The sequence below is a fragment of the Homo sapiens genome, chromosome 9, assembly GCF_000001405.40.
Source record: "Homo sapiens chromosome 9, GRCh38.p14 Primary Assembly".
In the NCBI taxonomy this organism is placed as follows: domain Eukaryota; kingdom Metazoa; phylum Chordata; class Mammalia; order Primates; family Hominidae; genus Homo; species Homo sapiens.
In genome coordinates this window covers 136099517-136113486 of record NC_000009.12, presented here as the reverse complement: position 1 = coordinate 136113486, position 13970 = coordinate 136099517, and the positions used below count along the sequence as shown (strand labels likewise).

At 62.0% G+C, this 13970-nt stretch overlaps 1 long non-coding RNA gene across 1 annotated transcript, besides 11 other annotated features; it reads left to right on the top strand.

The window, feature by feature from the left end:
* Window positions 2341-2952: an enhancer, noted in NCBI's record as "H3K27ac-H3K4me1 hESC enhancer chr9:139002381-139002992 (GRCh37/hg19 assembly coordinates)". NCBI's record gives its function as "activates a minimal SCP1, AML or CMV promoter by ChIP-STARR-seq in naive and primed H9 embryonic stem cells {active_cell/tissue: H9 hESC(naive and primed)}" and the evidence as "EXISTENCE:reporter gene assay evidence [ECO:0000049][PMID:30033119]".
* Window positions 2747-2866: an enhancer, noted in NCBI's record as "active region_29299". NCBI's record gives its function as "activates an Ori minimal core promoter by ATAC-STARR-seq in GM12878 lymphoblastoid cells {active_cell/tissue: GM12878}" and the evidence as "EXISTENCE:reporter gene assay evidence [ECO:0000049][PMID:35858748]".
* Window positions 2953-3564: an enhancer, noted in NCBI's record as "H3K27ac-H3K4me1 hESC enhancer chr9:139001769-139002380 (GRCh37/hg19 assembly coordinates)". NCBI's record gives its function as "activates a minimal SCP1, AML or CMV promoter by ChIP-STARR-seq in primed H9 embryonic stem cells {active_cell/tissue: H9 hESC(primed)}" and the evidence as "EXISTENCE:reporter gene assay evidence [ECO:0000049][PMID:30033119]".
* Window positions 3267-3376: an enhancer, noted in NCBI's record as "active region_29298". NCBI's record gives its function as "activates an Ori minimal core promoter by ATAC-STARR-seq in GM12878 lymphoblastoid cells {active_cell/tissue: GM12878}" and the evidence as "EXISTENCE:reporter gene assay evidence [ECO:0000049][PMID:35858748]".
* Window positions 3565-4177: an enhancer, noted in NCBI's record as "H3K27ac-H3K4me1 hESC enhancer chr9:139001156-139001768 (GRCh37/hg19 assembly coordinates)". NCBI's record gives its function as "activates a minimal SCP1, AML or CMV promoter by ChIP-STARR-seq in primed H9 embryonic stem cells {active_cell/tissue: H9 hESC(primed)}" and the evidence as "EXISTENCE:reporter gene assay evidence [ECO:0000049][PMID:30033119]".
* Window positions 3667-3856: a silencer, noted in NCBI's record as "silent region_20498". NCBI's record gives its function as "represses an Ori minimal core promoter by ATAC-STARR-seq in GM12878 lymphoblastoid cells {active_cell/tissue: GM12878}" and the evidence as "EXISTENCE:reporter gene assay evidence [ECO:0000049][PMID:35858748]".
* Window positions 3887-3936: an enhancer, noted in NCBI's record as "active region_29297". NCBI's record gives its function as "activates an Ori minimal core promoter by ATAC-STARR-seq in GM12878 lymphoblastoid cells {active_cell/tissue: GM12878}" and the evidence as "EXISTENCE:reporter gene assay evidence [ECO:0000049][PMID:35858748]".
* Window positions 4051-5638, top strand: LINC02846 (long intergenic non-protein coding RNA 2846). Its single transcript, NR_189286.1, has 2 exons — window positions 4051-4122; window positions 4668-5638. It is a non-coding gene; the product is annotated as a long intergenic non-protein coding RNA 2846 (long non-coding RNA).
* Window positions 4789-5401: an enhancer, noted in NCBI's record as "H3K27ac-H3K4me1 hESC enhancer chr9:138999932-139000544 (GRCh37/hg19 assembly coordinates)". NCBI's record gives its function as "activates a minimal SCP1, AML or CMV promoter by ChIP-STARR-seq in naive H9 embryonic stem cells {active_cell/tissue: H9 hESC(naive)}" and the evidence as "EXISTENCE:reporter gene assay evidence [ECO:0000049][PMID:30033119]".
* Window positions 6265-6364: a silencer, noted in NCBI's record as "silent region_20497". NCBI's record gives its function as "represses an Ori minimal core promoter by ATAC-STARR-seq in GM12878 lymphoblastoid cells {active_cell/tissue: GM12878}" and the evidence as "EXISTENCE:reporter gene assay evidence [ECO:0000049][PMID:35858748]".
* Window positions 6675-6724: an enhancer, noted in NCBI's record as "active region_29296". NCBI's record gives its function as "activates an Ori minimal core promoter by ATAC-STARR-seq in GM12878 lymphoblastoid cells {active_cell/tissue: GM12878}" and the evidence as "EXISTENCE:reporter gene assay evidence [ECO:0000049][PMID:35858748]".
* Window positions 9595-10294: an enhancer, noted in NCBI's record as "H3K27ac-H3K4me1 hESC enhancer chr9:138995039-138995738 (GRCh37/hg19 assembly coordinates)". NCBI's record gives its function as "activates a minimal SCP1, AML or CMV promoter by ChIP-STARR-seq in naive H9 embryonic stem cells {active_cell/tissue: H9 hESC(naive)}" and the evidence as "EXISTENCE:reporter gene assay evidence [ECO:0000049][PMID:30033119]".

The following is a 13970-nucleotide window of genomic DNA, read 5'->3' as shown; positions in this document are numbered from 1 at the left end:
TTTTTTCACTTGCAAAGGCTTCTAACAACGTGAAGATGACAACGATTTCCTCCCAGGCAGTCATTATGGCAAGAAAGTGTCACTTAAAGGGAAACCAGCCGGGTGCAGTGGCTCACACCTGTAATTCCAACACTTTGGGAGGCCAAGGCGGGAGGGTCGCTTGAACCCAGGAGTTCCAGATCAGCCTGGGCAGCAGGGAGACCCCATCTCTACAAAAAAATATTTTCAAATGAGTCAGGTGTAGTGGTGCTCACCTCTAGTTCCAGCTACTCCGGAGGCTGAGTGGGCAGGATTGTTTGAGCCCAGGCCGGGGAGGGGTTGAGGCTACAGTGAACCATGATTTTGTCACTGCTCCACCCTTGGTGACAGAGCAAGACCCCTTCTCAAGAAAATAAAGGAAAACTCTGGATTCCATTACGTAACAACCTATCCATTGTAGAGTTTTGTGGAACTGTTTCACCAAACTGCTGGGGTTTTGTTTTTGATGGCAGAGTTTGTGAAATCCTTACAAAAATGTTTGCCCCTGAAAAGCTTAGGAGGGTGACACTTGTTTTACCAAACCTAGGGCTGAAGCTTGGTGTGGAGCACTGCTTCCCAGACCAGCCTTCTGATCCGAAGGTCTGGGGGCTCTGTGTGCCCCACAGGGGGTGCCAGGCCACAGCCGAGTCCTGAGGTGGGCTCAGGGCCTGGACACGCAGCCTTACCTGTGCACACAAAGCCGGGGCAGTTAGCAAACGGGCCGTCTGAGGCTCGGCCTGGGAGAGCTGCCTGGTCTTGTTGTTTTGCCAGGTGTGGGCGAAGGTGGCTATGCCTTTGACTGTGGTCACACCCGGCCACGCACCACACCAGAGAGGCTGCACAAGGGCTCCTGCCTTCCCTGGGGGCTTCCCTGGCCTTCCCCGCCTGGCTTCACTCTGGTTTTCAGTGGATTTGGCATGTTTTCTGCTGTTCCCTGCCTGGGCCATCTCCATCTGATAGAACTCCCCGCGACAGTGGCAACGCCTCATCCACACTGTCGTGTACAGGAGCCACCAGCCCATGGGACCACTGAGTACAGGGACAGGCGCCACAGTGACCACTGAATGTCTCATCAGACCCAAGGAAGCAGTTCCCACAGAAGGAGCCACTCAGCTGGATTATAACAAGGGCTTTTTTTTTTCTTTCCGTTTTTCCATTTTTTATTTTTTTTCAGAGATGGGGTCTCGCTCTGTTGCCAAAGCTGCAGTGGCCACGATCACGGCTCACTGCAGCCTCGACCTCCTAGGCTCAGGCCATTCCCCGGGCAGAGGCATGTCACAGGCTCCAAGAGCCAAGGAGCTTCCCCATGGCCACAGTGTGTTCCTTGCGGGAGCCCCGCTAACCCGGCTCCTCTGGGGGGGGCTGAAGAGCCCTGTGGGGGATCTGAGGGGCGGTGGAGCTGCTTACGACCGCTCCCCAGCAGACCTGCCATCCTCGGGCTGTATTAACCAGGCGTTTCCCCTGTTTGACAGGTTCTGTTTTCAAAGTTGTTCTCCCCTTGAGGTCCCAGATGACCGGCTGAGCTGTGCAAGGGCCACGGCTCCAAGGAAGGCCGGAGCTACTTGGAGGTTGTCCCCAGGCCCTTTGTCCACAGTGACAGACACCCAGACCAGACCATGCTGCAGTGACTGGTAAGGGTGCCACCCAGAGAGGGATCTCCAGGGACCGCCGATGGTGCTGTATGTCTGGGGCTGTCTGTCTTGGGCCTCCTGGGCCCTCCCAGCAGCAGCTGTGTTTCTGCTGGGTGGGGAGACGTGCCAGGACCACTGCTGGGGGACCAGCGCTTTCCACGGACACGTCACATTTAGAACAGCCTGATTTGCTGGTGGTGGGCTCCACATGTCTGAAAACACAGGAGTGACCTGCAGGCCTGGAGGCTTCCAGAAGCTTCCAGCAGTGGTGAGGAGTCGAGGACTGGGAAGGTGTTGAGACAGAACCTAAGCATGTGGCCGCTGCGGCTTCCTGCAGAGATCTCAGGCAGCGCGCAGCCGCTTCGGAGGGAGTTGGGAGCCGGTTAGGAGACAGGATCCATCCTTACGAGGCGGCTGGTCCATACAGCGGTTCCCCTCCCACTGCAAGTGGCCTCGGTTGCCTGCGAAGGAGGGAAGTGGCCCCGGGGACTCAGGGTGGCGGCCGGACCTGAGTGAGCTGGGAAGGACAGGTGTGGGCAGGGAGGGCCGCTGGCTGCTCCTGGGGACGGTGGGAAGTGGAGGTAGCTGCAGACTGGCCTGGAGGTCAGGAACGTGCCGGGAAGGTTCTGGAATCAGAGCTGCCCGGCGCTGGCTGGATGAGAGGCCCCCAGTGACAGCAGTGGGTTTGGGAGTCATGGGTTTGGCAGTGAGGAGCCTGGCACCAGAGGTCAGTGTTCGGCCTGGGGGATGGGGGAGGGTGGGCGGCCCTGGACCAATCCCTGAGCCTGGACCACAGAGAAGGTGTCCAGCCCAAGGCAGGCGCGAAGCTGAGGGGGAGCTGGGCGGGCCGGGGAGGGAGGAATCAGAGGGGCTCTGGGGAGGGCGGCCCCTGGGTGGAGACGGGTGGGAGGGAGGCCTGGAGGTGGGGAGCGGCTCCATCTCAGGCTGAACAGAGTGCTGAGTCAGGAAGTCACAGCCGGGCGCGGGGTGTGGAGGAAGCCACCAAAGCCAGCCCGGGGCTGTTGACTTAGTGGGGTCTGATTTTCAGTCTGTGCCTGGCCCAGGGGGATTGTGCCGAGTGGCTCCCAGAGCCCCCCTTTCCCCGTCGTCCACCACACGGGGACACCAGCTTGGGCACCAGACCGGGGGTCTCTGTTGCTGAAAAGTGGAATCCAAGCTGAGGAGCCAGCAGAGGGCAGGCAGTGGCTGGAAGGGGGTGGTGCTGGGGATTTCAAGATCTAAGATGCTCGGTCAAGATGGGCCACGTGCTGTCCCATCCCCAGCACAGGGTGGCCTCGGAAGGCTGCCCCGTCAGAGCCCCCATGTGCAGCCTCCACAGGCAAAACCACCCCAAACGCACACACACAGGAATGTCCTCCACCTCCCGCCCCTCCGCAGGGGGCAGGACAGGACAGCAGGGGCTGAGGGGGAAGGTGCCCGGCTCCAAACACAGCCCCCAGCAGGAAGGACGGCAGGGCCAGGCGCGGCCCCCACTCCAGACCAGAGCATGACTCCCCCGGTGCCGCTGCGTCGATGGTGATATTGATGCTCCGTGATCTTGGAAGGGCCTGTCCCCTCCAGCGTGCGATCGGAGGAGGGCGCGGGCCCTGGCAGTGCTGTGAGTGCTGATTCAGCGTTTTCTGGGGGAGACAAACGTGCTTCGATCTGCAGAGGCCAGTGCGTTTCTCTTCTTCCTTATGGGTCTCCTTTGGAAAGGGCCCCTCTCTGCCCAGGCCCTCCCTGCAGGCCTCCGCTCATGCCCTCGGAGGCGGGGGCTGCCCTGCACCCAGCCCCGGTGAGCCGCACTTCCCATGCAGCAGGCTGCAGAGGCCGCAGTCCAGAAACACCCCCCACCCCACCGCCTGGCGCGCCTCCTGACGGTTCCCAAAAGAGAGAGCGCCCCGCCGCACCAGCATCCTTGCCCAGGCGGGGCCGTCCGGGTGCAGCTGATTCAGCGGCTCCTGGCCCGGCGCCCCTCCCCCAGCCCAGCTGGGCAGCGTGCCCGGGCATGCCGGCAGCTGTGTCACACGGGCTCTGGCAGGGCTGCTGTGGCGCGCACTGCGCCTGGGGGCGGGGTTGCAGGCTGCTGCGGCGGGCGGGCTGCCAGGCGCCCCCTCCCTGCGGGGCCGCTCCCCTTCCGTGCAGTCCTTGTATGGCCTCCTGCAGAGGAGAGGCCCCGTGGGAGGCGGAAGGCAGAGCTGGGTCTTGGTGCTCCTGGGCTACCGTCAGCCCCCAGGAAATAATCACATCCCAAAGCCCCGTCAGCGGATCCACCGCCACATCCAGAGTCTCCCCATAGCCCGGGTCGGGGCCGCGTTCCTCCATCTCAGGCCAGCCCTGCTGGGGCCACCTGCCGTCCTGACCTGGGCGGAGACTGGAAGGGGCAGGTGGGGCGGGGCCCAAGAGTCCTACCCGACTAATGGGGACAGCCGGAGCCAAGGGGCTCTCAGGGCAGCAGGAGGGCCATGCAGGGGTGAGCCACAGCCCCCAGGGCCCCTCCTGCCAGCTTCGCTGCGCCCATGAGCTTGGGTTTGCCTCTAGCTGAGGGCATGGGGCAGGCCTGGGGAGCCGGTAGGCGCTGACCCAGCGGTGACCCGGGCCCAGGGGAGGAGGGCGCCGGCTCTATTTGGGAAGGGGCTTCGTAAAGGGGCTTGGTTAATTTATGGGAGAACCTCGGTGTCCCCGCCCTGTGAGGGCTGTGGGCGTGGGGTAAATGCAGGGCGGGGAGGGGAGAGGGGTCAGGGCTGAGGAGGAGAAGCAGGGGCAGGAGGCAGGGCGGGGAGGGCAGAGGGGTCAGGGCTGAGGAGGAGAAGCAGGGGCAGGAGCGGTGAGGAAGAGGGGCATTTGGTCGAGGTTGGGTCAGGTAAGGACACGGTGGTAGGCAAAGGCCAGGGGGCAGGTGGGGTGCCTGGGAGGTCCGTGGTCAGAGGATGGGTGCTGGTGGGGCCTGGAGATGGCGGTGCTGCCTCCACCCTCCTGAGCCTGGAGGCCTGACAATTGCATCCGAAAAATCCACAGCCACCATCGTGTCAGCAGCACGTTGACCATGGCTCACGACATGGGGACGGGCATTCTTGCCGCTTCCTCAGAATATTAACGACGGTCCCAGCAGAATGCTGTATGAATATTCATATGGAGCTCAATCAAGCCTGGGCTGGCGGATGGCACAGGGAGAGGCGCCGTGACAGGCTGGGCCCGGGTCCCAGTGGGCACACCTTGGCAGGGTGTGGCCGTAAGTCTCCGCCAGCTCCAGCCAGGATCTGCCTCCCTCGGGATGGGACAGGCCTGGGCCTGTTGTATGGCCACAGGCAGAAGAGGCCGATGAGTGACATGACATCACCACTTAGTGACTGCCCTCGTCCTGGGAGCCCAGATGCTGGGGCGGGGCTCCTTCCTGAAAGACCCAGAGAAGTTCATCTCAGGTTTAATGGGGGCACTGCTGCCTCAGAAGCCAGGCAGTGGGTGGTGAGGTCCCTGTCCTCACTGGGGTCTGCAGCCGAGGAGGACTGGCCACCGAGGCCCAGGCCAGGCACAGGGATGCTGGGTGGCCATGGCCAGTCCTCCCGGGAGCCCCTAGCACCTTGGGCCTGCCCCCAGCTCTCACGCCGGGAGAGGTTTTTTCCCACTCCGGTGGCCGACGCCCTGGTGAAGGGATTCGCAGAACGGGAGCACATGGATTTCCAGTTCTTCCCAGCGGGCGCACGTAGGCCGGCACCCTCTCTCTCGTCTTTGGGCAGAACTCGAGTGCTGCTAGACCCTTGGCCCCGCTCACTGCGCTGGGCCGCACTGCACCCATTTCCTCCCAGCAAGGGCGGTCCCTGGACTCCTCTGACCTGAACTGCTTCCGAGTTTGCTTCTCAGAACCAAGAGGGGCTGGCTCTGCGCCCTGCCTACCTGTCCAGGGGTGGGGGCTGCCCTTTGAAGCTATCAATCTGGGTTTTAAGTGTGGATTCATTATTGACAACACCATGACGTTATGCTGACATGAATTATTTGTATGTTTTTCAAATTGTGCTGTGATAACCCTGGCTGTCTTCCTGCTCCCATAGTGGATAAAAGCGTCCGAAAGAATGCCGCCATCTCTCTTCTCCCCACAGCCTGGAGCTGGGCCAACCGGAACTCAGCCACCACCTGTGCTCGGTGCAGCCTGGTTTGACCCCCACCCTCCTCCACCTGGCTGGGGTGCGTGCCTGGCACATGTATGTGTGCACGTATGTGCGTGTGGGGGTGTGGCATTTGTGTGCCCAAGTGTTTTCTGCTGTCGTGTCTCACGTCCTGGCTCTGCCGCCCTCCACATCCATGGCTCCTTCCCGTGCTCCCTCAGATGGTCCCCCAAAGAACGGAGGGACTCCGGCCCCTTGAGGAACAGGGAAGCCCCTGCCTGGGTAGCCACTGGCAGGTGAGTCCTGTGTTCCTGCCGAGAAAAAGTCTGCTTTCAAACGCGGATGGGCAAGCACTCCCTTTGCGGTCGCCGCGCTTGGGGTCGCCGGTTGCTGGGCTGATTGGCAGGAAGAGGTGCGGCTCCCCGGCCCCTCGTGAGGCTGTGCAGCCATCTGCCCCTCTCCAGGCCCAGCTCTTCCTGTGAGATAAGGGGGCGGGAACCCAGGGAGGCTGGGCCTACAGCGTGCAGTGAGGTGAGGTGCTGGACTAGCTGTTCTCAGGTCACCCCCAGGGAAAGCCCTAGGCCCGCATTCTGTCCCCAGGTGGGAAGTTCAGGGAGAAGGAACCAGGGCTGGGGTTGGACTCAGGGCGGGGGGCGGGGGGGCGGGGCTCACGATGTCACCTGTGGCACGGCTGCCGCAGTGGGCCAGGGAGCTCCAGATTCCCTGGGTCACCGTCTTACCAGGGCCTGGGTTGGGGCCTGGGTCGGGGCCATGGGATTGCAGAAGCAGCACTGGAGGCTGGTGCCCTGTTCCTTCCACCAAAACTGGGCAGACCCTCTCCTCAAGGGAAGGTGCCGGGGGCTGGCTGCAGGCCCTGCCTGAGGCAGATCTGATGACCTTGGGCCAGGAAGACAAGGCCATTTGTGGCCCAAACCCTTTCCTGGGGCTTATTCTCAAGGATGTATCCTGGTGGGGGCTGTCTCCAGGGGTCGGTCTGTAGAAGGATGCTAGACCCTCTCTGGGAGCTCCGAGCCTAACACGAACAAACAAAAGAACAGGTTGCTGCCCCACGGGTTCCTGGGGCTGGGTGCAGAGCAAGCCTTCACATTCACTTTCTGAATGACTGTGCCAAGGGCCAGCTGAGGCCCCCACGAGTACGTCTTCCGGGCAGGATGTCCCTCGAGAGCTGTGCTTGCCTCTCACCAACTTAGAACTAACCCCACTCCCAGGCTGGGCACGGTGGCTCACACCTGTAATCCCAGCACTTTGGGAGGCCGAGGTGGGCGGATCACTTGAGGTCCGGAGTTCGAGACCAGCCTGGCCAACATGGTGAAACCCCGAATCTACTAAAAATACAAAAATTAGCTGGGCGTGGTGGCAGGCGCCTGTAATCCCAGCTACTCGGGAGGGTGAGGCAGGAGAATCGCTTGAATCTGGGAGGTGGAGGTTGCAGTGAGCCGAGATCTCACCACTGCATTCCAGCCCGGGGGACAGAGCAAGACTCCATCTCAAAAACAAACAAACAAAAAAGCCAACTACCCCCCGGCCCCCCCAATACACCCCGGAAAAGCAGCCCTGCTGTTTGGAATCTGACCCCTTAAAGTCCTTCTGTCTGTCCTATCTGGGAGCCTCTAGATGCTGCCAAAGGCTTTCCCAAGCCCAGCTCTCACATGTTTCCTGCAAAGGACAGTGGCTGTCCCCTGAGCCTGACTTGGCCAAGGGGCTCTGCCGTGCCTCCCGGGAGGAGGTGAGTCACTGCAGCCGCCCGACCCTCAGCCTTCTCTGGAGCAGGAGGCAGCAGCTGCTTTACAGCTGCATAAAACATTAGAGGGAAATTTAGGACAAAAGAGGAAGACGATTAGAGCATCCAATTTAAACCGAGGGAGGGCATACGGAACCCAAAACGGCACTGCCCTAATTCAGGAGCAGAGGGAGGCACGGGCTCTGCAACCGCTGACAAGAACCAAAATACTCACCCAGTTTTCTTCTGCAAAAGAGACCCAAAGTTGCCTGACAAGATGCCCACAGATGTCCCAGGCCCTGCGGGAGCCGACCTCCTCCCCAGGGGATGATGCAGCCCGCTCCGTGCCCATGCCAGCTGGCCAAGGGCACAGCAGATGCCCCAGGTCACCATCCTTCCAGGGACCTGGCTCAGAGCCATGGGATGTTCTGTTCTTTCCGCCAAGACTCTGTGGGCACCGCTGTGGCAGGCCAGAGCAAGGCTGAGAAGTGGCCGGGAAGGAGCCACATCCAACTGTGCAGGCAGCTCCCCCCAGCTCCCTCCCTGCTCTCTGCTCTCCCTGGACCAACTGGCCCAGCCTAAGGCTGTGCAGGGACTGGACAGCAGGGTCTGACCCCAGCCTTCCTGGGCCTGGGGCACAACACTCTTGCTTTCGGGTCAGCATCTGCAATGGTGCTTCCTCCTGGGGACAGGGGTGTGGCCCCCTTGGCTGGTCAACTCTGCTGTGTCCCTTGGCTCTTGCTGTCCACTGGAGAAGATGGTCCCAGGGAAGCAGAGGCTGCCCAGAGACGGGGGCTTTCCGTGTGGGGCTTTCGGTATGGGGCCAGATGAGCAGGTCTCTTATCTCCAGACCAGCCTTCAGCAACTTCCAGCTGCGAGATGAGGGCACCCAGTCCTCACTTTAACCACAGGACCACAGAGACGAGGGGAAAAGCAAAACAAGGGAGGCCAATGGTTTGGGAACCCTGGCTCTGCCCTCAGGAGCACACTGGGCCTGCCTGCCGGGTTGGTCTGTAAGCCAGTGAGCACTCCCCACCCACCCCACCATGCACCCAGCATCTGAGCTGCCAGGGTCCCCTTTGACCCCCGCAGTGCAGGTGTGCTGGCACCATCGGCCAGATCCACTGTACTGGGCCCTGGCTTAGCCTCTAGTGGAGTGGGGTCTACCAAATGACAATAGGCCAGGGCCGGAGAAACTGAGGAAAGTGAGACCCTCTCAGTGGGGCAGAGCTGCAGGCCCACCCAGATGCTGCTTTCTTGGGGGGATTTAGGAATCTCTGAAGCAAATGCATGCTTCAGTTACAGACTAGTGCTTGAGCATAGCAGGACTTGAAATGGACAGGCATTCCTGCCCTGGTCCTGGTAAGGTGAATTAGCATAATAAAAGCAAATGTGCTCTGCCCAGGGTTTTTGGAAGTGAGGTGGTTTATGTGATCTTCAGCTGCCTGTTCCGTCCTTCAGCTTGTATGTAAGAAGCACCAGGAAACACCCTCCCCCATGGACACTAAAGCAGGGGCCGTTCTGTCACGGAGCAGCCACCTCCAGATGGCTGTGCACCTGCACACCTGCTGGCACGCCCTGCCCGGAGCCAGGTGAGCTCTCTGTATCTGGAGAAGCCCTGGGCTTGCATGGGCAGGCTGCAGGGGTGGAGGGGGGGGCGACCTGCAGGGTGGGGTGGGACACCAGTGCTCTCTCTCTCCTGAGATCACATTCCTGGGCATCCGGCATGAAGGTCACAGAAACGGGCAGTGTTTGGCTGCACTTGCTGGGGGCTCAGGGGCTGCTCTAGCAGCAGCAGGGCAGTGCGCCGAGCCCAGCGTCCGGGCAGGCGCTCAGCAGGGTGGCTTCCTGGCCCATCGTTGTTACTAGGGAATTGAAGCCCAAGTCCCTGGCGACGCCCCGCTTCCCCATCCCTCCACTGCACAGAGGCACTCCGGATTGCTCTGGGGTGCATTCCTGGGACCTTGGCCTCCCCTCCAGCCCTTCCGAGTTCCCTGAACCCCAGCAGACACACGGCCATGAGGCTGGCTGGCAGGAGGCCAGGGGTGCAGCGTGGACACCTCAGGGACTCCTCCCCGCCCCGGAGGCCCCTATGCACGGGGTGTGGGGGCGGCATTCATCCCACTGGGGTGCGCCAGGGTGGACAGGTGGAGTGTGGCCTGACTGTGGGCACCTGGAGGAAAGGGCTCTGCTGGCACCTGTGCTGCACCGTCTGCACCCCCGGCCCGGAGGGGCCCCACGTGCCACGTCCCTCTTCTCATGGTGGGGACCTTCCCGCCACCTCCGCCGCCCTGGGATGCTCTTCTCCCTCACTCACCCTCACACCATGGCACCTTCGGATGACCAAGAGCCTCCCTTTCCTCCCAGGGCCAGATCCTGAGCCAGTTCCACAGGCACCAGCAGGTCCCAGGACCTGCAGCTTGGAGCAGAGGATGGGCTGCCCCCCAGCCCTCAGGGGCTGCCCCCCAGATTCCATCGTGGACTCCAGCCTGCACACTGGTCGCCTGAGATTCCGATTCAGCAGGTCTGGCCCCGGGACCTTGTGATTCCAATGGCTCCACCTCTCTTAGAGGCAGCTGCTCTGCCCTGGGGGTCTCGAGGGACGGAGGGTAGGCAGAGCATCCAGGAGGCACGAAAGCCCAGGAGAGCAGCGAGGCTCCAGGGCCACTGGAAGAAGGTGGAGGAGGGGGAGGCAGCTGTGGCCAGACGCTAGAGATTAAGACAGGACCAGGGTCCGGCGCGGTGGCTCACGCCTGTAATCCCAGCACTTTGGGAGGCCGAGGCAGGCGGATCACGAGGTCAGGAGATCAAGACCATCCTGGCTAACACGGTGAAACCCCGTCTCTACTAAAAATACAAAAAAATGGCCGGGCGCGGTGGCTCAGCCTGTAATCCCAGCACTTTGGGAGGCTGAGGTGGGCGGATCACAAGGTCAGGAGATAGAGATCATCCTCTGAATGGCGAAACCCCGTCTCTACTAAAAAAAAAAAAAAAAAAAAATTAGCCGGGCGTAGTGGCGGGCGCCTGTGGTCCCAGCTACTTGGGAGACTAAGGCAGGAGAATGCCATGAACCCGGGAGGCGGAGCTTGCAGTGAGTCGAGATCGCGTCACTGCACTCCAGCCTGGGTGACAGAGCGAGACTCCGTCTCAAAAAAAAAAAAAAGCCTGGACCAGGAACTGGGGGCGGATTTGGAGCAAATGTTACTCCAAGTGACTTCCACACCCTAGTAACCTTGTCCAGCCATAGAGACCATCCCTGCGTCATCGACCCCAGCCCAGTCTGGCCCTCACTCCCTGGACACTTGAGAATCCAGCAGCAACTGCCTCTCCCTACTTGGGTGGCCGCAGCGGGCCATTCGTCCCGATCTTCCCTATCCCAGGACGCGGCGTGGCCTTCACGGGCCCACCTGCCCGGCCTCAGTCCGAACGCTCCCCACCTCCCCTTCCCTCCCAGCCCTCCTCATTCCTCCGGGTTCCACCTTCACAGCCCCTCCACCGCCGCCCCCACCCTCACTGGACCCCAGGGAGGGAACCCAGCAGGTCTCATAGAGCCCTCTCCCCGGCAGCCAGACCTCAGAGGCTCCCCTCCAGCCGCTAGCTCCAACGAGGCGGAGTCCTGGCCCAGGCTCTTCCTTCGCCACCTCTGCCTCCTCCATGGCAGACCTGGATTTCTTTTTTAACCAGCCTGCCACCCCTGCTACTAGAACAGGAGCCCCAGATGAGCAGGGGCCAGTGACTTGTTCTGAAAGGGGCCAAATGCCTTCCTGGTCACTCCTGGGAGTCAGGGGTGCCGGCCCGCCCACGTAGCCCAGAGGGACGGAGGGCCTCACCTGCAGCCCTGCTGGCCACTTTCCCTCTGGGCCAGCTGGACCCCAAATCTGGCCCTTCAGGGAACCCACAGAGGCCTCTGCTGTGTCTACCGGGTTCCCGGCTCCTCCAGCAAATTGTGCCTCCTCGTCCGGGGTGTGGGGGGATGTAAGTTCAGCCGCATCAAGGGCCCTGAGGAGGGAGCCTCGTGCTGGGAGAGCCACCGGAGCTCAGAGACAGCTTCCCTGAAGTCCCGAGTTGGGCCCTGGGGATGAGCTGGAGCTCACCTGCTGCTGCAGGGAGATGGGGGTCCTGGCAGAGGAGCAGCGGGTGCAAAGGCCCTGTGTCCGTCAGCGGGTGCAAAGGCCCTGTGTCCGTCAGCGGGTGCAAAGGCCCTGTGTCCGTCAGCGGGTGCAAAGGCCCTGTGTCCGTCAGCGGGTGCAAAGGCCCTGTGTCCGTCAGCGGGTGCAAAGGCCCTGTGTCCGTCAGCGGGTGCAAAGGCCCTGTGTCCGTCAGCGGGTGCAAAGGCCCTGTGTCCGTCAGCGGGTGCAAAGGCCCTGTGTCCGTCAGCGGGTGCAAAGGCCCTGTGTCCGTCAGCGGGTGCAAAGGCCCTGTGTCCGTCAGCGGGTGCAAAGGCCCTGTGTCCGTCAGCGGGTGCAAAGGCCCTGTGTCCGTCAGCGGGTGCAAAGGCCCTGTGTCCGTCAGCGGGTGCAAAGGTCCTGTGTCAGCAGCTCAGAGAGAGCCCCAGTGTACTGCAAGAGACAGCGTGGGGGGGGGACCAAGGCTGAAGAGTGGGCGAGATCAGCAGCTCAGGCTGGGAGGGACATCTCTGAGCACAGAGGGACAGTTTCACTACAGGGCAAACGGGGTCCTTCTGGCCTCCTGGAGCTAGTCCTGTCCCGTCCACACAGCCCAGTGCCTGGTATGGACACAGGCCTCAAAGGGTCAGCCCAGCAGGCAGAGGCGGGAGCTGCTGGGATCAGCACGCTCGGCTTCATGGTGGTCACAGCAGGGACACCCAAAAGAGCCGCCAGGATGGCAAGTGTCCCTGGCATCTGAGGCCCATAGAAGTGCCCTTTGCCCAGCAGGATCGTAGACAGGATGGTGACCCCCCAAGGGGTGGAGGGCCCAGGGCAGTCCGGCCCAGGCTTTGAACCCATTCACTAGAATAACCGTCCTAAAGAAAGAAATGGCAGTGGGGGAGTGACCAGGGGCCCGAGCCAGCTCTGCGGGAGATGTAGGGCCTTGCAGAGTCACAAACACCTGCCTGCATCCCCCATTGTCCTGCAGGTGGGCGGAGCCGCACCCAGTGCAGCCGGTGGTGGGGGCGGGGCCAGCTGGGCTTGGTCTTGCAAACTGCACATCTTCTAGGAACTGGCTCCAGGAAAGCGGAGGTGGTTTTCCCCGGAGCTGCCTCAGGACCCCGAGGGGGTGGTGGTCAAGGTGGACTCCCTGGGGGCCTGCCAAGACCTGATGTTCTGAGTGGGGCTTTGGCTGGAGTATGGCCTCGGTCCCTGGGTGGACAGGTGGGTGAGGCCCTGTGCAGTGTCCTGGGCCATTCTGCTGTGCACAGCTCTCGTCCCCTGGGCTCTGGGGCCCCCTGGCCCCTCACTCTCTTCCAGGACTCAGCAGGCACCACCCTGGGCTCCTGGGTTGACTTCCTACGGTAGGAGGAGGCTGCCCCCTGGAGCAGCCTGGGGGCTACAGGATTGGGAAACTTTTAGTAAAAAAAAAAGGGCAATGGGCTCAATTTGAACCCCACGCTGGAGGTACCAGCCAAAACCCCAACTGCAGAAACACAGGGCCTGGCTTCTACTCCAAGTATGGGGGCTGCATCCAGGGCCCAGGGTGAGGCTGGTGGGCCCAGCTTAGCCCCCAGTCGCAAGGGCCGGCTCAGCTGCTCCGCTCTCGGCCCCCTCAGGCTGGCACAGAGCGGGGCCCTGACAAGGGGCCCTGTGGGAGCAGCCGGGGCTTTCCTGGAGCCTCTCTCTAGGGTGGATGGGAGCGAAATCGACACACTGATATGTAACCATGGATTATGATGGAAGAAAGGAGCGAGCACTCAGAAAACAGAAAGGGGGCCTCGTGCAGGGTATGGAGGCGGCGCCGCTGGTAAAATCCTGAGCGCTGGGAAGCAGGGGAGACGGCCGCGGGGACGAAGGCTGCTTGGGAGCTGGGCGTGGCGGACGCACAGCCCCGGGAATGTGCTAAATGCCACGGAGTTGTTCAGTTGATAGTGGTTGCTGTCAGTTAGGTGAATCTCACCTCGATTTAAAAAAAAAGGCAAAAAAAAAAAAAAAAAAAAAGAAGAAGGAAAGAGCCCACCCCAAGTCAGTCTCTGCCTTTCTGGTCTGGAGTCCATGGCCCTGGGCCTGTCCCTGCCGCCCCGCACGCCCCCCTCCCTACCGCCACCAACCCACACCCCCCCCCCCCGCCGACCCGCACACACGCCCCGGCCGCCCCGCGCACCCACCCTGCCGCCGCCCCACACAAACACCCCCCGCCACCCCGCACACACGCCCCCACCGCCCCGCACACCACCCCCACCCGCCGCCCCGCACACACACCACCGCTCTTCATCACCTCTGCCACATCTTCCCTGTGCTGCCTGCTGGACCACAAGCCCTCTGAGGCCAGGCGTTGGGTCAGCTTCACAGGACAGGGCCCCCT